The 18,795-nt window shown below is 38.9% G+C and overlaps 2 long non-coding RNA genes across 3 annotated transcripts in view; one reads left to right on the top strand and one right to left on the bottom strand.

The window, feature by feature from the left end:
- LOC101928923 (uncharacterized) overlaps positions 1-16,631 on the top strand; it is a 487,547-nt gene extending 470,916 nt beyond the window's left edge. Inside the window, exons 6-9 of the long non-coding RNA XR_001744423.2 lie at positions 10,686-10,778; positions 13,317-13,435; positions 13,624-13,728; positions 15,700-16,631. This is a non-coding gene — a long non-coding RNA (uncharacterized LOC101928923). The remainder of the gene's footprint in view (positions 1-10,685; positions 10,779-13,316; positions 13,436-13,623; positions 13,729-15,699) is intronic.
- Positions 1-18,795, bottom strand: part of LOC105378072 (uncharacterized) — a 91,283-nt gene that overhangs the window by 59,268 nt on the left and 13,220 nt on the right. The gene's annotated exons all lie outside the window — the stretch shown is intronic.

The following is an 18,795-nucleotide window of genomic DNA, read 5'->3' as shown; positions in this document are numbered from 1 at the left end:
TGGATACTGCTTTTCAAATTAAGAAATCTCTACCATAGGAATATAAAGATATGTTTCTATACTATACTTACAACTTTGAATATTTTGCTCTTCACATATAGATATATAATTTTTCTGGAATTTAGCTTCATGCATGTTGCAAAGAAGAATCCAATTTTGTTTGTTTACTTAGGAATAAGCACCATTTATGAGACGATCCATCTTTTTTTAGCCACTTATCTCCAATGCCACTTCTGTATTATGTTGTCACCTTATACCCATATATGTGACTCTGTTTTTCCTACATAAATACCTCATTGCCTTATATATCACTGCCTTATATATCGTTTTGATATCTGCTAAGCCAAATTCCCTTACCTTTTTCTTCCCAAGAGTATTTTTTACTATTATTGGTCCTTTTGCCCTTCCCAATGTATGTTAGAATCTGCTTTTGAAGCATGAAAACCTTTGTTGGGGCTTTCACTGCAATTACATTGAATCTAGATATCAATTGAGGGCAACGGACACATTAACAAAACCGAGTCCCGCTGTGTGAACAAAGGTGATCTCTCTCTTTATGTTTTATTGACTGCCTTTAAATAAAGTTTTATATATGCTACACTTTTTCTTCTAGGTAAACTATATCAGCTGAAGAAGATTCCTTTCTATCCTACTTTGATAGAAGTCTTTTATCATGAATGGATGTGAAATTGTACCTAATGTTCTTAATGCATCTAAAGCAATAATCATATGGTTTTTCTCTTTTATTCATTAATGTGGCGAATTACATTAATCCATTTTCCAATGTGAATCAACTGTTAAGCTCTTGTGATGAACATAACTTGTTCATGATATTCTGCTTTTCTGGGCAATAAGTTTATACAGTGAATTAAACAGTCAATGTCTGTACTTATAAAGTTACATTCCAGTGTGGGGTAGGGAGAGAAAATGATAAACAGATAAATAGCTTAATGTATTACATAATATCAGGCACTGGTATTCAGGGAAAGACCTATATTTTAACCATCCCCCTTGCCACAAAACCAAAAAGATATCTGCTAATCAATCAACTGAAATTGAGAAAACATATCTTCCACATGTATCTGAATACGGCATTGTGCAAGAAATCATTGCATATGACATGCTGACCCCAGGGACCAACACGAATGTGGATAGGCCTAAAAAACCGAGAAACAACACTGCAAAAGTACATCAGTTAAAGAAATAAGAGTAGAAAGGGTTGCACATGTATGTACTATAAAATGGTAGCCAAACTGAATTAGAATTCCTTAAGTTGCTTTCTGGCTTCATGCTTCTCAAAGGTATTCTTTGGACATTTTTCTTTATAGTTTACAGTATGGGTATAATCATTATTAAAGGGAATGTGTTGCATTAATTTCCTGATATCACTATAAAGTAAAAAAACCTAGAGGGTGGTGATGCAGTCTTTTTTAGAGTACCCAGTAACAGGACACCAGTACCCATCCATATTTATAAACAAGTTAAGTTTATCCTCCTAACATTAGCTATGAAATAAGTACGCCCCAGGCTCCTCTGGCTGTGGTAGATATCCTTCTGTGCTGTGGCCTGGGATTCTGGGACTGCATACAGAGTGAAAGAAAGAGCAGAAGCCCACAGTAGAATACAGACAAGCAGTCCCACTGAAGATCACATAACACTTGCATGGCAGAAAGAAGAGAGAATTTCCAGCCAGCAGTTGTAAAAGTGGGAGGAAATAAGGAACAACTACAGTGTATCTAGCTGGTAAATGAATACAAGAATTATGGGGACCAAAAATTAATTCCATTCACACCTGCCTGTCTCATCAAAAGGAAGTGAATTGCAGAGTAACTCAAAGGAGGGGCTCCTGCCTCAGAAAGCATTAAAATGACTCCAAAGACCTACACAGAGGCTCTGTGAAAGGTGTTGCTGAAGGCTGGTTTGGAGGTATGTTGAAACTTCTAAGACAGAGAGGTTGCTCTGGGAGAAGGGACAAAGGTGCAGCATTGAGTGCCCTATTGTATTAGTCAGGGTTCTCTGGTGAAACAGAACCAAGATATAGATAGATAGATAGATAGGTTAGATAGATAGATAGATAGATAGATAGATAGATAGATAGATAGATAGATGATAGGATAAGTGATACATAGGTAGATAGAAATGCAGATAGATGAGATAGATATAGATAGATAGATACATACATACATACATATGATAGGTGATAGGTAGATAGCAGAAAGATAGATAAATGATAAAGAGAGAGATGATAGATGATAGATATGGATAGATAGATGATAGATGATAGATAGGATAAGTGATACATAGCTAGATAGAAATGCAGATAGATGAGATAGATATAGATATAGATACACACATACATATGATAGGTGATAGGTAGATAGAAGAAAGATAAATGATAGAGAGATAGATGATAGATATAGATAGATAGATAATAGAAATGATAGATAAGTTTATTATGGGAATTTACTCATGCAATTATGGAGGCCAAGAAGTCATCATATGCTGCCTTCGAGACAGAGAACCAGGAAAGCTGACAGTGTAATTCAGCCTGAGAACCAGGAGCTCCCATGCTCAAGGGCAGGAGAAGATGAATGTCTCAGTTTAAACAGAGAGAAGGAAACAATTCACCCTTCCTCTGCCTTTTTGTTGTATTAGGGCCCTCAATGGATTGGACTGGATGGTGCCCAACCACAGTGATGAGAGTGGATCTTCTTTACTGTCTACTGATTCAAATGCTAATCTTTTCTGGAAACAACCTTACAGACACCCCCCAGAAATTGTGTTTTACCAGCTATCTGGGCACCCCTTAGCCCAGTAAAGTGGACACATAAAGTTGACCATAAACTCTATCACTAGCCCATGAGCCTGAGCTTCAAGTGCCTCTCAGAGAGACACTATGATTTGGACAACTGTGGATACTTCTGGTGGCTGGGGATTAGAAGAAACACATTTGTTGGGGACACTTGGAGTCCACTGAGGACTGGGGCAAGAAGGGTGGCAATGTAGCCAGAAGGAGAATCAGGGGCTGGGACAGACAGGAGGCCAGAAAGGGATCTGGACGGAGTAGAGAAGCAGGCAGAGATGTAGTCTGAAAATGTTGTTGCCCATGAAAATCCTGACATTTCATCAGCCACTGTGCCATATTATTACATACTTTACTTTGAAGTCAGACTTACCTGAGTTTAAATTTTGCCTTTGCTTGTACTAGTTGTGTGGCCTTAGGCACATTATTGAACCTTTATTAGCCTTGGTTTTCTGAATGTTACAATCCTAACTTTTTGGGTTGTTTTGGGAATATGACGTGAAGCAATTCCCATCGAGTATTTACCATAATGCTTAGCCAAAAAATAATCATTCAAAAATTGTTTAATAAATGGCAGCTCATGTTTATCTCAGATGCTGGAAGAAGGAAGAGAAGTATTCTTCACAGGTGCATAGCCAGATGAATAGGAGTAAATGAAAGGGGTAAGAGATGGCACGGTGCCTTGGGAAGGGGTTTTTGAGTCTGGATTCCAAGGGTAAGCAATGTGGAACATCAAGCCAAACAAAGCATTCATCTACACACTTTACCTTCCCCTAGCCCTTGATTTCTTAGCAGCAGATGAGACCTAAGAGAATAAGGTACATTTATACTTGGAAAAATGGTCAAAGGTCACCTAGTCCAACTTCTAACTCATTGGTGACATCCACATGCAATGCTTAGGTGTCCTTCATGAAAGGGAGTTTATAAACTTACTATAGTCACCTCCTATTGATGCCCATCTTTAATGATTAGAAAGTTCTTCCTTAGCTGAGCTGAATTCACTTTCTTGTGACTTAGCTCAGCCACCCTGGGGCAACACAAAACAAATATCTTTCCGCTTCTACACATACGCCCCTATCGTACTAGTCTCTTCTTCCCTAGTGTCAGGAATCGTGAGTAATTGGCTTACAATACAAAGGAAAAAAGAAAACCTTGGGGGATACTCTTATTACTAGAACTGTTTAAATGGATTTATAGGGGACGTTTAATGAGAGCAGAAATTGAAATTGCACTTGACTGCATTTCAGGGCAGCAGATTTTTATTTAGCAGCCAGAAGGGGTGCAAGATATGTTAAAGAATAACGAAAAAATGTAAACCTGCCCGTAGGGAGCTTAAAATCTGATTAACTTAGCCACGCTAATGATAGAGCAAGAAAAGCTGGCTGAGCAAAGAACACTGTTCAGATGCCACCGGGAAAAATATAACAGACTATCGAAAAGTCTACATTTGTTACAGCTAAAAGGTAAATGTTTAAATTAAAACAATTATTTCATTATAAATGCAATGTATGGCCATTGAAGAAAAAAATGATAAAATTAGCAAAAAGGAAAAAAACGTACAGAAGTATATAACTCCACTACCCAGATATAACCAGATATAATTTGTCATCTGTATGCTATGGAAATCTTTTATTTAGCTGTAGATGAATTTCTATATGGCATTATACTATACATGCTATCTCATAAACTGCCTTTTTAGGACATTCATCGTGAGTATTTTTAAAAATAAATATTCATGTGTAATGTCTTTAATAACTAGTTAGTATTTCATTCAAAGACTATATCATCCTTTGTTACCAAATTTGCCCCTAGTTGGACCTTTTGGTTGTTTCCAAATTTCACTACTATGAACAGAATTCTTATAGCTAAATCTTTGCATATTCTTAATTCTTTCCTTAAAATACCTTTCCGGGTGTGGAATTTCTGGGTCAAAGTTTGTGCATATTTCTAAGCCTTTTGATAAGTAATGTCACACTGAATTCCAGGAAGATTGTTCTATAACAGGGTAAAAGTGATAATTTCTCCATCATTTACTGATGATGTGAGTATTGTTATTTCGTTAACATCTGCCAGTCTAACAGTTGACAAATCACATGTCATCATTTCTTTGATTACTAAAATAAAAATGGTCTTTGAAAATAATGATTTGCAGTCACTTTCCTCCTGCATGAAATGCTTATTTTTATACAAGGTATTAATATGTTTCATTCAGCAAATACTTCTTGAACATCTACTATGTGCCACACACTGTTTGAAGTGTTGGGAATACATTAATGAACAAAACAAACAAAAATCTCTTCTCTCCTGGAGCTTATGTTCTAGTATGAGTCTATATTCTAACAGTTTTTAATTTAACTTAAGTTCCAGGATACATGTGCAGGATGTGCAGGTTTGTTACATAGGTAAATGTGTGCCATGGTGGTTTGCTGAACCTATCAACCCATCACCTAGGTATTAAGCCCAGCAGGCATTAGCTGTTTTCCCTGATGCTCTTCCCCCTCTGCCTGCCAATAGGCCCTGGTGCGTCTGTTGTTCCCCCACTGGGTCCACATGTGCTCATTGTTCAGCTCCCACTTGTAAGTGAGAACATGCAGTTTTGGTTTTCGGTTCTTGCATTAATTTGCTAAGGATAATGACTTCTAGCTCCATCCATGTCCCTGCAAAGGACATGATCTCCTTCCTTTTTATGGCTGCATAGTATTCCATGGTGTATACGGACCACATTTTCTTTACCTAGCCTATCATTGATGGGCATTTCGGTTGATTCTATGTCTTTGCTCTTGTATATCGTGCCACAGTAAATATACAGGAGCATGTATCTTTGTAATTATTCTAACAGTTTTAACACAGAAAGGTTACTGACACTTTCATCATATTGTGCAACTTTGTTGTCCTCAGTTTGCCATTTGGAAGCAATGTATATCTTTAGGAGAGGAATAAGTGGGATCAGAGTGTGATAGAATGTTAAAGGTGGACTAGGCCTTATAAACCATACAGCGTAGCCGCTTCATTTTATAGATGAAGCACCAGAGGAGACCTATAGAGAAAAAAATAACACTTGTTCAGGCTCACACTGAGTTAGTGACCCAGAAGGATTCTGCATCCAAGGGCCGTATTTCATTTGGAAAATGAGAAAAAAAAAGTGCTCCTTCATGAACTGTATTTATTTTGCTTTTTGATTCCTGTATTATACAAATAACAGTGAACATTTGCAGGGTCTTTCTATGTGCTAAGCACTCTATGGGCATAAGTTCCTCCGACTTCCCCCATAAGACAGACCCAAGCACGAAACAAACAGATGGGCAAACGGGGGTTGGAGTGCTTAAGTACAATGGCAAATAATCATTTTCAAAGACTTTTTACATCTTAGTAATCAAAGAACTCCAGTTAAAACAGTGACATACGATTTGTCACCTGTTAAATTGGCATCTGTTTAAAAAATAACAGTACTCACATCATAACTAGTAATTGACAAAGCTTTTACTCATGTCTAAGCCTGTCAGTCTCCAAAGGCCACCACTGTTCTACCCCCATCCCTAGTGTACTGTTGAGCATCTGTCAATGTGAGAAGTGTGTAGAAAAAGGAGAGATTTAAGGACAAGGAAAAGCAAGGCCGCCCCAGTCTGGAATGCTGCAGGGGGTGGCTGCTGGTGCGGCGTGGGCAGTGCTGGTGAGGAGGAGGTGTGGACGTTGAGGGGATGATGCTGAGGCCTGGCGAGGGAAATAAGGAGGGGACTCTTTGGGTGACCTCATCCTGCCCATTTCATTCTGTTCCTCCTCGGCTCACCATTCCACTTTCCAGTGACCCCAATTCTTTCTCCATCTTTTACAAAAACTGTCTTTCGGATTCCTCTGCCATATTAAAGTGCAAATGATGTGACAACAAAGTGAAGAGTTATTCAACCAACCAGCAGGTGCCATTTTCATTCTTAAACAAGTCTGGGTCGCATACGCAAGGGATATCACACTAATTGCAGTTCCAGACATCCACTTACTTTCATAATAAGAGACTTGTCTCTTCCTTATTTCTTTGTCTCTTCCATCTCCTACTCCTTCTCTCTTCCTCCTCCTCCTCCTTCCTCTTGCTTTCTCTGGTTTTAGAGTGGAGCCTGTAACTGAGACCCAGTATCCCACCACCTCAACAGACTTACTCTTAGGACTAGTCCTTTTGCCAAAATTTTGACTTTATATCAAAGTGCATGTCCAAATGTGGACAAGGCTAAGACCAGAAGAGGAGTCTCTGGGCATTGGAGACTCCAGGGATTCATTTATTCCTCCTCAAGGGATGGATGAGCCCCTCTATTGGCCTTTCCCACCAATGTCTTCTCATGCCAGGCCCAGAGATCAGGAGTGCCGTCAGCTCTCTTAGCCACCCAGCCTTTGACCTATGCAGGTGTCTCCTCAAATGGTAGAACCCAGAGCAGTGGGAGGTGGTCAGTGACATGCAGGCAGAGTGGCCCATCCCAGCTGTGTGTCAGTTGAAGTCTACAGTCAGAACGTTTCCATGGTGAGACCCAGACATCACAAAGGCCTCAGCGCAGAGGTATGGGGCTGCAGTTAACATTGACTTTGTTTGTAGCTGAAGGGATGAATGAACTGTAAGGTAACAGAAATGCAGATTGGGAGAGAGCAAGCAAATAGATTTGTTAGGTTTTACCCCAGTCTTATAGGAGGGTATTACTTATTTAACCTAATTATTGGTTTTGTTTTTATCATCGTGCATAAAGAACTTTCTGAGCCTATGAAAGCCTAAAGCTGATTAATATTTTAGTATATATTCATCACTAACAACAAGCATTTATTAAGTGCTTAACTACCTGTGATGCTTTTCTCAGTTCTTGCATGTGAGGTGAGTTACACTGATAACAATTCAGCCACTCAAAAAGAGAAGGTTTTGAAATGAACTAACACAAAGGACATTCAAGCAGCTGAGTATGGACAGAAGCGAGGGCAAATGATCGCAAGCACAGATGTAACATGCATGCAGTGAGGCAGGAGGGAGCCACCTGCGGTGGAAATGCTGAGAAGCACATGATTTTGCCTGGGAAGGCGCAGTTTTATGTCTGAGGCAGATTTGCTTATGGAGTTCAACCATTTTGTTCCTTGAGAGAAAGACAGTTTTATACACTTTTAAGGGTCATCATGAGAAAAACTTACAGAAAAAAAAATTGCCTGTTTGTTCTTGGAGGACAGTATTCCAGAGAGTAATTATTGTAGAAATTTTTCTTCCTAATCAAAAACCTTGAAGCAGTCCTCTACGCTCTCTCATAGCTGTTGGGCAACTTTCTCAATGCATCCTAAGAGCCAGGACAAATCAGAGCCAGTGGCTGGGCTGCCTGAGGCCATAAAAGTTAGTGTAGCTCATGGGATAGGAAGACCCAAAGAAAGCTGTGACCAGAGAGAAGTCCACCACACGAATTGACATGAAGGCAGTGGTATGATTCCTAGAACAGGAGGGAGACTGAAACCGGTCCCTGCTGATCAGGTAGCTAATGAAGAAATGGTCTTGAGATTCAAAATCAAGAGAAAAGCAACGGTATGAGCCAGAAGTCTCAACAAGCACAGGGAAAATGAGTCCAGTGAAACTGAACACAGTGCAACTATAAGGACAGGGATGTGGGACAAGCCACCTGCAGGAGAAGAGTCTCCAGCACAAATAGTCAAGAATTTTGAGGGCTCAGAGGAAGAAAAGAGCTGTAGGGAAAGTCTGAGCTTCTTAGAGAGTATTTATGTGCTCCTGAGCAGAATGGTGGTAGAAATATGAGTGGTAAAGCCCGTTCTGATAAGGTCTCAGATGAAAATGCAGAACAAGGAATTGGAAACGAGAGTAAAAGTCATCCTTGTTATGGAGTGGCAGAGAACTTGGCTGAATTGTGTCCATGCCTGAGATCTTTGTGAAAGGCAGAATTTAGGAGTGATCAGACTATCTGGCAGGAGAAATATCTGTAGGAATTGCATGGCTTCTTTTAACTGCATACAATAAAATGAGAGAAAATAAAAATAATTTAAACACAGAATTTATAATGAAAAGGGAACAGAATGTAAAAATTTGGAACATCCCTAGCCTGATCACGTGAAGATAAAAAGACATGTTCGGGAGAGTATATCAAGGGGGTAGCCAAGCAACCGTTTGAGAAGGAGATGAGTATGGATAGAAGGGAGGCAGGTACCATCCATTAAGACAATGAGAGAATGAGAGCAAGGGCATTTTGGAGAACTTAGAGTCTGCCCCTCTTGCCAGAGCCCTAGGAAGGCAGAATGGTTTTGTAGGAAAGGCCTGGGGTACCCTCCACAGGCTTGCTGCCTGGGGCTCCCGGCATTCTCATGCAGTGCTCCTTGGCCACCAGAGCTGTGGCTCAAGTGGTCCTAGATACAGCTCAAGTTGCTGCTCTGGGGGGCACAAGAAGTAAACCTTAAAACATCCATGTAGAAATTAGTTTGCAGTCATGCAGAATGCAAGAGCTGTGGAGGCATGGCTACCTCCACTTAGACTTTGAAAGACGGCACAGACAGCCTAGGGACCCTGGCAGAAATGTGGCATATGGGTGGAGCCGCTGCAGAGAGTCCACACTAGGGCAATGCCTAGTAAAGCCATGGGAGTGGAGCCATCCCCAAGACCCCAGAACTGTAAAGCCACCAGTGTGCAATGCCAGCCTGAGAGAGATGCAGGCATGAGACTCCGGTCTGTGACAGCTGCTGAGTGGGCTGAGCAAAATCATAAAGGTGGGGCTACTTGAGGCCTTAGGTGCCCAGTGTCCAATGCAGTGTGTCCAAAAGGTGGCACATGGACATGAAAAGATTATTCTGGAGTCTTAAGATGTGATGTTGTTTGCCCTGTTGGCTTTTGGACTTACTTGGGACTAGTTACTCCTTACTTCTTGCCCATTTCTCCCTTTTGGAATGGGAATTCCAATCCTATGCCTGTCCCACCATCTTATTTTGAAAGCACATGATGTGTTTGATTTCACAGGCTTACAGCTGAAGGAGTATTTATCTCCAGATGAATGGCTTGAGTCTCATCCATATCTGATTTAGATGAGACTTTGGGGTTTTTTTAGTTGATTAAGGAATGAGTTAAGACTTTGAGGTTATTGGGATAGAATGATTATATTTTGTATGGAGAAGAGCACATGTTTTGGGTGACAGGATTGAATGTGTCTTGCAAAAAGCATATGTTGAAATTTAATTGCCACTGTAACAGTATTCACAGATGAAAACTTTAAGAGGTAACTAGGCCACGAAGGCTCACCTTTTGTGAATGAATTGATGCCGTTAACTCAGAGGTGGGTTCATTATTGCAGGAATGAGTTCTTTATAAAAGGACAAGTTCAGTCCTCTTTTGCCTCTCTCTCCTACCCTCTCTTGCCCTTCTGTCTTCTCCCATAGGATCACACAGCAAGAAGGGCTTGTAAGATGCCAGCCCCTTGATCTTGGACGTCCCAGCCTTTAGAACTATGAGTCAATAAATTTCTGTTCATTATAGATTACCCAGTCTTGGGTATTCTGTTACAGTAGCACAAAGTGGTCTAAGAAGACAATAGCATTATATAACATATAATATAAAAACACAATACAGTATTTAAACTTGCTTTGGCGTTAAGCTTATTAAAAAGCATCTTGCTTATTTTGACATCATTATCACAACAAAGAAAATGACTAATTTGGTAATGTCATCCAAGGAGAGGAGAAAGACCAGTAACAGGACAGAGACCTTGCTGTTAAATTGAGTGTACTTAACAATTCTCTCATGGAGTGGTGCCTATTATCAAATTGAGCTATACCCGAATAAACATAATGTAATGATAGATGTAAGTTTACTGGGTGGAAAACTCCAAAATACTTTTCCTGTAGTATTATCTTTGTTCTCAATTTTTGTTTACAGGCCCCAAGTTAAAGAACTCTATTCAGCCGGGCGCGGTGGCTTATGCCTGTAATCCCAGCACTTTGGAAGGCCGAGGCGGGCGGATCATCTGAGGTTGGGAGTTCAAGACCAGCCTGACCAACATGGAGAAACCCCGTCTCTACTAAAAATACAAAATTAGCCTGGGGTGGTGACACACGCCTGTAATTCCAGCTACTAAGGAAGGCTGAGGCAGGAGAATTGCCTGAATCTGGGAGGCGGAGGTTGCAGTGAGCCGAGATCGTGCCATTGCTCTCCAGCCTGGGCAACAAAAGCGAAACTCCATCTCTAAAAACAAAAACAAAAACAAAAACAAAACTCCATTCAAAAGTAAAGTAGAAACACTATCTTGATGCACCAAAAGACCAACTGCTCACAACTTTGGTTCCAAGGTCTGGAGAATTTGCTGAGTCTGTGAGGCCTGGAGTTTCACAGCCAGTATCCAAACAGGGACTATTTCTGATTAATGTGTTGCTAGGTAACTCATAATTATACAAGCAAAGAAGCAAGTTCAATGTAATATAACTCACATTGATTTTTTTGGCTATGCTGTAAGAGCTTGATGTTAATGTATAGGAAAAAAATTCCCAATATCCCCCAAACATTTTGTTCCAATAAATACTTCTTAATATTTTGAAATCACCTGGTTGTTCTTATAGATCTGAAAGTATTTGAAACACATTTTTATTATGAATCATGATTTAGGCTCCTGATAGACAGTTTTGTGAGCATACTGACTTCTCTATAAATATTACCAGCTCATTCAAACTAAGTGGAGCAAGTGAATAGATTTGTGGTCCTTTCCGTACAGACTTAGAAACTTCCCGGTTTTATTTTGGTCTAATTATAGGTTTTGACTTTTTCAAGGTACATAATCAAAGTCTGACCCCTAAAAACGTCTAATAAAGCTATGCTTTAAAGGCCAAAGAAATAAACACATTATTTTAAGTGTCATGGAGTTAGTGCAAATCCATGTATCTTTGCAGGCCAGGGGGTGTTTTCTACCAGATGAGGGCCTAAGGCAATGAGGCGGCACAGACATAATAAAAGTCTGACGCAGAGAGGATTTGAATACCAGCTAGAGTAGTGGAAACATGTTGTCAATAAATGTCTCAGGTCAAGAAACACACAAAATGAGAAGAAATCGTAGCAACCACCTTGCAGTGACCAAAAAAATCTATATATATTGTCGGGATAATTCTGAGAATAAAGCAGTACTATGATGCTAAAAAGATGGTCTTCCTAAATTGCAATATGAATGACTGCACGTTAGAAAAGCATGTATTTTGGACCAACGTTGTGAAACTAAGCTGTCTTGGGACACCAGGCATGAAGGCAATGGGGCACATTGGTTACGAGTTCTGGGTTTGGCCAGGGTGTGAATTCCAACTCTCATTGACCTTGAGGATGTTATTTCAATTTTTTGTGGTTTAGTTTTCTTATCTGTATCTCACAAGGTTATCAGAAAGATTATATATAATCATGTATAAAGCTTGACATCTGGCCTCTCAAATGCTAAAATAAAAAATAAAAAATAAAAAAAAACCCAACCTAATAGTGTTATAATTACAGAAACAGAGTGTTCAGCTTAACAGGACACACTTTCCTTATGTCCTTTCCTTCCTCAAAAGTAGGAGTAATTCACCTCCTTCAGGCCAGTTGCAGGTTGCTTTGAGGCCTTGTGTTTCAGAGGAGTAGTAGCTATTTTATTACCACGTCTCTTATTTTCAGTCTTTTATTCCCCTTTAGTAAGTTTGGCTAGATCTTCCTTTGTTTTTCTTTCACATGATTGAAATCAGCCACCAGAAATCACTGCACCCATCACCCAGATTCTGTAGTTTTGGTCAACTGCTTGCCATCTTCTTCTCTACTTTGATATTAAGCACCTGGTCAAGAATTGCATCTCCCAGGGCTTGTCAGCATTACTGACACTTTCCTGCAGGCACCTTTGGAAATGGGCCAACATAGTGCTGTTTTGGACTATCATTTATCTAGCATTTGCCCTCAAAGATACAAACCTAAGTTTAATCTTATGATATTAACCATGATAGATTGCAACCTCAATAATTTTTATTCTAACAATTAGATCTGCTATTCTTTGGACAGAATGGCTTTCTTTTGGACGATCTTTTTGGCAGTCTTTTAGATGATAAAGAAGTAAACAAAGTTGTCAAGAAAGTTAAAAGACATATACTCGAAACTCTACGGGGGAAAAAAAAGACACTAGGAAGAGCTCTCTGTCCTGGATGGCAGTAAAGAAAGTAAAGCTACATATTTCTAACACAAATCTTCTGTATCATCTCTTGTTTTACATAATTCATAGACTCGCTCTTTAGCATAGAATTTGTGGCCATGTACAAAGGTCACAGCTAGAATACTGCAAAATGTGTACATCTGAGGGCAGAAATTCTTTTTCCCCATTACTTATTTATCAAACAGGTTGATGTCAGATAGAAAGCTTTGGGTGTTGTTTTGCCTTTCTTCCTCCCATGCAAATAATCATCTCTGTGTCCTACCTTGTTAACCTTTTCTGTTTATTTCTATTTCCCTGCAACTCCTTATTATAGTTGCCAGTTAATCACAAATATATTAAAAGATTTCTTTTTAATCTAGCAGTCTTCATCGCTTTGTGGTATCTATGTGAACAGTTGTGTCCTCGCTAAGAGAGTGTCCAATTACACGCACGGCAGGGAAAAGCAAGAGATCAGCAGTTGACTATGCTTTTGTCTAAGGTATCAAATGTGAAAGCAAATTAGGTATCTAAAAATAAAAACTAAAATTAAGACTAATAAAATGGAGCTTTGACTTTTCTCATCACAGACTCATTTATACTTAATGACACAGACTGACTGCATAGGTAATTGTTATAATCTCTCTTGAAATGGATTTTAAAAAATGGCTGATCTATTCTTCTTTTCAGGACAGGTAAATGGATGCCAAGACAACAGAGAAACAGGAATCTTTTTGTGTAGTTATATATTAATTTGTTTGCAATATTGGCTTGCAAATAGAAGGCCAGAGAGAGGTGAGTTAGCCAGTGTTACTTAGACATATAAGCATATAAATTCAATCAATCATACGTTATTTTGCCCACTGAGCTCAACATGCCAGATCAAATACATGAAACATCAGAAAAACACCACCAGGAATTTCTTTCCAAAACGCAACCCGTTTTGCTTTAAACAAACATAAGAAACACTACTTCAGGAATACAATTTATAGAACTCCTCTCTCTTTAGATGTTTTACGTTCCCTCTTTCTATTTGCCAACATTCTAAGTTTCAGACATACACTTTATTAATATCTCCGACCAGATGAATACTTCCTACCTTTTCCCTCCCCGAATTACACCTGTTCCTTTTTCACCCTTGCACCCTCTAGGCTGGAGGAGCTCCACCAGGTGGATAGGAACTTAGCTCTTAAGAGATAATAGTGCCACCTGAAAGCTGGCATGGGAAATGACCTTATCCATTGTCTTCCCCACCATATTCTTCCTAAAAAATTATTTTTGTTCACATTTGCTAGCACATTTTCTAAGCCCTCTCTAATTTACAGTTGTCGTCCTTCCCACTCCTAACTCAGAACCAGGGATACACTTTAACAATCACAAGAAATAACACAATTGTACTCATGGAGTATTTCTTTTTCTTGGGGAAACTCTAAGTTGTTTAAATTGTTCCCTTTTGAGTAATAATAATATGACTTTATTCCCCTTATTAAGTGCTACATCTTCTTGTACTTTACATATATTAATTTAACTCATTTCAGTGGAATGAGTTAAATGAGCAACTTATTTAATTCACGTAATCCTCGGTAAAATTATATATAGAGACCTGTATTCAATTTGAATCTATTACAAACTGTTGGGGGAAACCAAAGGTAGGTGAAATAATTTACAAAAGTGTAAACCAAAAATAAAATTCTAAGCACCCCGGCTAACTGAATGGTCCCTTTTCTCGGCCTAGAGAATTTCAAAGAAACCTAAAATGAAACTGGTTCAGGCAATGATGGGAAGGGCTGTGGGTGGGACATGCTTCATTATACTCATACATTTGGAATTCAGGTACAACTGACCAGTATTAATATTAAAACAGAGATCTTAAGAATAACAAAACAGACTATTTGTAGCAATAAGATACCCAATTCCAACCTAACTCTAGTATGGGATCACTTGATAGATAGAAGGCCCTGAAAACAAATCAAAATGTTTTACCCCAAAATATATTTCTTTGACATATTTTTTAATGGCCCTGCAAAGCTGTCTCTTGTGGAGGAAATTTACATTCTGTAGAGAATCCCCTTCCCTTTCCAGATCTTTTTCTGTTCCTGAAGAGATTAGCTAAGAGTCTAGAGCACCTTTCAAAGGTCTGAATAGAAAACATTTGCCACATATTGTTATTAAAGGTGGTCACATATGAGACTTCATCTACATAATAAGAACCTTGTCCTCTACAACCCCTTATCTTAACCCAGACACTCCTTTCTACCGATTCCAGGTCTTTAGATAATAACTTAACTCTCAACCAATTGCTAATCAGAAAATCTTGGAATCTACCTAGGACCTGTAAGCCTGCCCCTCACTTCCAGTTGTTCTGTCTTTCTAGACCAAACCAAAGGATACCTCACATGTATTGATTGATGTCTTTCGTCTCCTTAAAATGTATAAAACCAAGCTGCAAACCAACCACCTTGGCCACATGTTCTCATGATATCTTGAGACTGTGTCTCAGGCACAGTTATGGTTACTTATATTTGTCTCAGAATAAACCTCTCTAAATATTTTACATAGTTTGACTCCTGTCGACAAAAGAAAACTAAATCATGCAACAATTCATATACACATATATACACACACAGAGAGAGAAACGGCTACTGTAGTGACACAATTTGAGAAACAACTGTCTTCTGATGTCTAATCTTACACTAAATAGGTTAACTTGCTGCTGCTTCTCATGAGCGACTCAGTTCTACTAATTTGTTTTTTTATATTCCTCAGATCCAGCACCACAGGGATTCAAATCTCCGTTGACAAGTGTTTATAAATGACTCGCAACCAGAACATATATGTGGAATCAGCACACAAAACTGGCAAGAGCACTGGTTCCGCTGCAGAAATTACACACAAGAGGAGCTCTTTCTGTGTGCTTTCATGCATCAGTCTAGAGCCAGTTCTTCCTCATTCACATTGAAACGTCAGGTTCGGCCTGAATAATGTTTCCATGCGGGCCTAAAAACTTCTGCAAAAATTCGATGGAAGTAAAAATCACACAAGACCTCATCACACTCCTCCATGTGATCTCAATATTTTTAAAGAAAATATTTATATACGTTTTATTTATAAACCACTATTCTAAGACTTATAAGTCTATAAAGCTTCCATTTGGGCAAAAATGTAATCTCCCAAGATATAGCAGCTCTCTAAGCTAAAAATAAGAGAGAATATTTTTGAAGAGACAAGAGTCTCAGGTTCCTTGTGAGGGAACTCAAAATATTTCACCCCAAAATATGGCAATCTGAGTGTTTTAAGTTAAAACCTCATAGAGATCAATAAGCACTGGAGGAGAGTTTTCCCCTATCAACAGAAAGACAGGACTGACTCACCCAGGAGAACAATTGTTCTTGTTCCCCTCCCTGGTATCTCATTATTCACTACAGGAAAGAAGACCAAAAATGTAAGCATACTTGAACATACATTTTTCAAGATAATGAGTGTCTCAAATGATTATTTAAATTCCAAAGAGAACTATTTACAAGTTAATTTCTGTTCCAGTTATTTTCCTTAGTAATCATTTATTGCACATCAATAGAATTCCTCTTCCCACCCTCCCATAGCCTGTTCTGCCAGGATCCAAGCCTTCATTCTTTCTGTAACCTCAAGATGGTATGTCAACCTTTGTACCTCATTGGGAAGCTGGGTCTTCATTTTGAAGGCTTCCAAATATACACATTAAATAAATTTGTATGTCTTTTCTCCTATTAGTCAATCTTCTTCTTGTCAGTGATTTTCAGTGAACCTTTAAGGGGTCAAGTTTTGGCCCCCACACCTGCCTTCAGTAGCACGTTTGTTTGAAGGTGGATCAACCCAAATCACTCATTATTATTTTTTCACAGTGTGGGGATTTGTCAGGACTAGGGGAAAAGCAGGTACATGGAGGAGTCAGGAACATCTTTGGTGCAGAGGAGTTGTTTTTACTATTAATTACTATTGACTGCTGTGATATCCAAAATAATCCCTTGGCAGAAAGTATCCTCAAATCAATCCATATATTTTCGGTAGGAATAGGAGGAAAAGGAAGTGGTCATGTCAGGTTATGTGCCCGTGATTCCAGCAACAGGAGACACTGACTTGAAGGAAGAAGTGACGGAATCTGCTTAGAGGAGTAAAAGTTTCTTTTTTCACATGAAGGCCAACCCTTAGGAGAAGCATCTTACGGGGATTCCTTTCTGACCAATGCTCTACTGGGAAAAGCCACTCATAATTTAATGAATATTCAGTTTTGTTCTTGGGACTTCATCCTTCTTATAACGTGGGTAATCAGTTCATCTAGTTCTGACATTTAGATTTCTCCTTTCAGTTCTTTTTTTCTCTAGAATCTACTCCCTGTGAAGAGCACAGTTGGATCTGGTGAGCTGTTCATTGGTGGCCTCCAGCCTCACTGCCTGCTGACTCTTTAAACATCTGGCATCTTCTAAAGATGATTTTAAAACACCAGATCTCTTGTAACATGGCTAAACCTTTAAAGAACTGTATATTTTCCTTCCATTTAGTCAAACTTGTGTGGCAAGCTTTTTTCCTCCTTACTCTCTCCATACAGTTGATTTTAACTGAATGAAACTTCTGTTCCAGAAAAGAAAGAGCTCAGTACAATTTCCAGTATTTGTTACCCATGCCATCATTAACCAAGAAAATGCACAGATACTAGGACTGGAACTCATGATTTCAGGCCACGTAGCCACAACTTGTATAGCTTCTTTGAAGAACACTGAGCATAATTCTGAGGTAGTTCACAGCTCCTGATGGCCCTGAAGTCCACCACAAAGCTGCCTTGGCTTAGGCTCCTATTGCCCGCTGCACTGCCTCAAACCGCAATGATCCTCCAGGAAAGAAACCTGCACATTCATGTTTTCCTTATGTTTGTTTTTCAGAATTGATACATAATAATCGTACAAGTTTATGGGGTACAATATGATGGCTATGCTAATTAATTTGCTTATTACGCAATAAACTTGTATGCTTTGCTTTGTGAAGTATCTATCCAAGTCTTTTCCCCATTTTTCCCCTCGACTTTTAATTTATTTTTATAATTTCAAGCTTATAAAAAAGTCGCAAGAATAGCACATGGAATTTCCATAGGACCTTTACCCAGATTCAATAATTGTGTGCCTGTTGACCCACTTTCCTCTTCCTTTGCTCCCTCCTCTCTTCTTCTTCCCCTTCCTTCACGTTCTGGTTCTCTCCTTTTGAAACAGAAAATGTCAGGACCTTTTACCACCCCCGCCTATACTTTACTTCCTAAGGAAAATGAGATCTCTTCAATAAGGAAAGTACAATTATCGAAATCAGTAAATATAACTTAATGCTGATACAATGCTAATCCACAGTGCATTTTTAAATTTGTCAATCTTCCCAATAGTATCTTTTGTAGAGAGACATGAATATACATATACATACATATTTATACAATAGATATTATGTATACACATTTCCCAGTCCAGGATCTAACTGAAGAGCATGCATTACATCTACAGCTCGTCTGCCTCTGTCATGACCTTAATCTTTTGAAGTACATCATACAGATATTGTGTAGAATACGTCTCCATCTAGGTTTATTTGATATTTCCTCACTATTACATTATGATTATATCTTTTTCTCAGGACTGCCACTGAAATGTTATGTTCTTCTTATTCAATAATATCAGGAGCCATGTGATGTCAATTTGTCCCCACATTGTTGACAGTAACTTTTATTGGCTGGTTCAAGTGGTAACTGACAAGTTTCTCCTCTATAAAGGTATTGTTTTCCCTTGTTAAGTAGTAAACTATTTATGGGAGATACTTTGAAACTACATAAATATCCCATACTTCATAAAC

This window comes from Homo sapiens, chromosome 6, assembly GCF_000001405.40.
Source record: "Homo sapiens chromosome 6, GRCh38.p14 Primary Assembly".
NCBI lineage: Eukaryota > Metazoa > Chordata > Mammalia > Primates > Hominidae > Homo > Homo sapiens.
The sequence above is the reverse complement of the archived record's forward strand: the minus strand, read 5'-3'. Positions and strand labels throughout refer to the sequence as shown.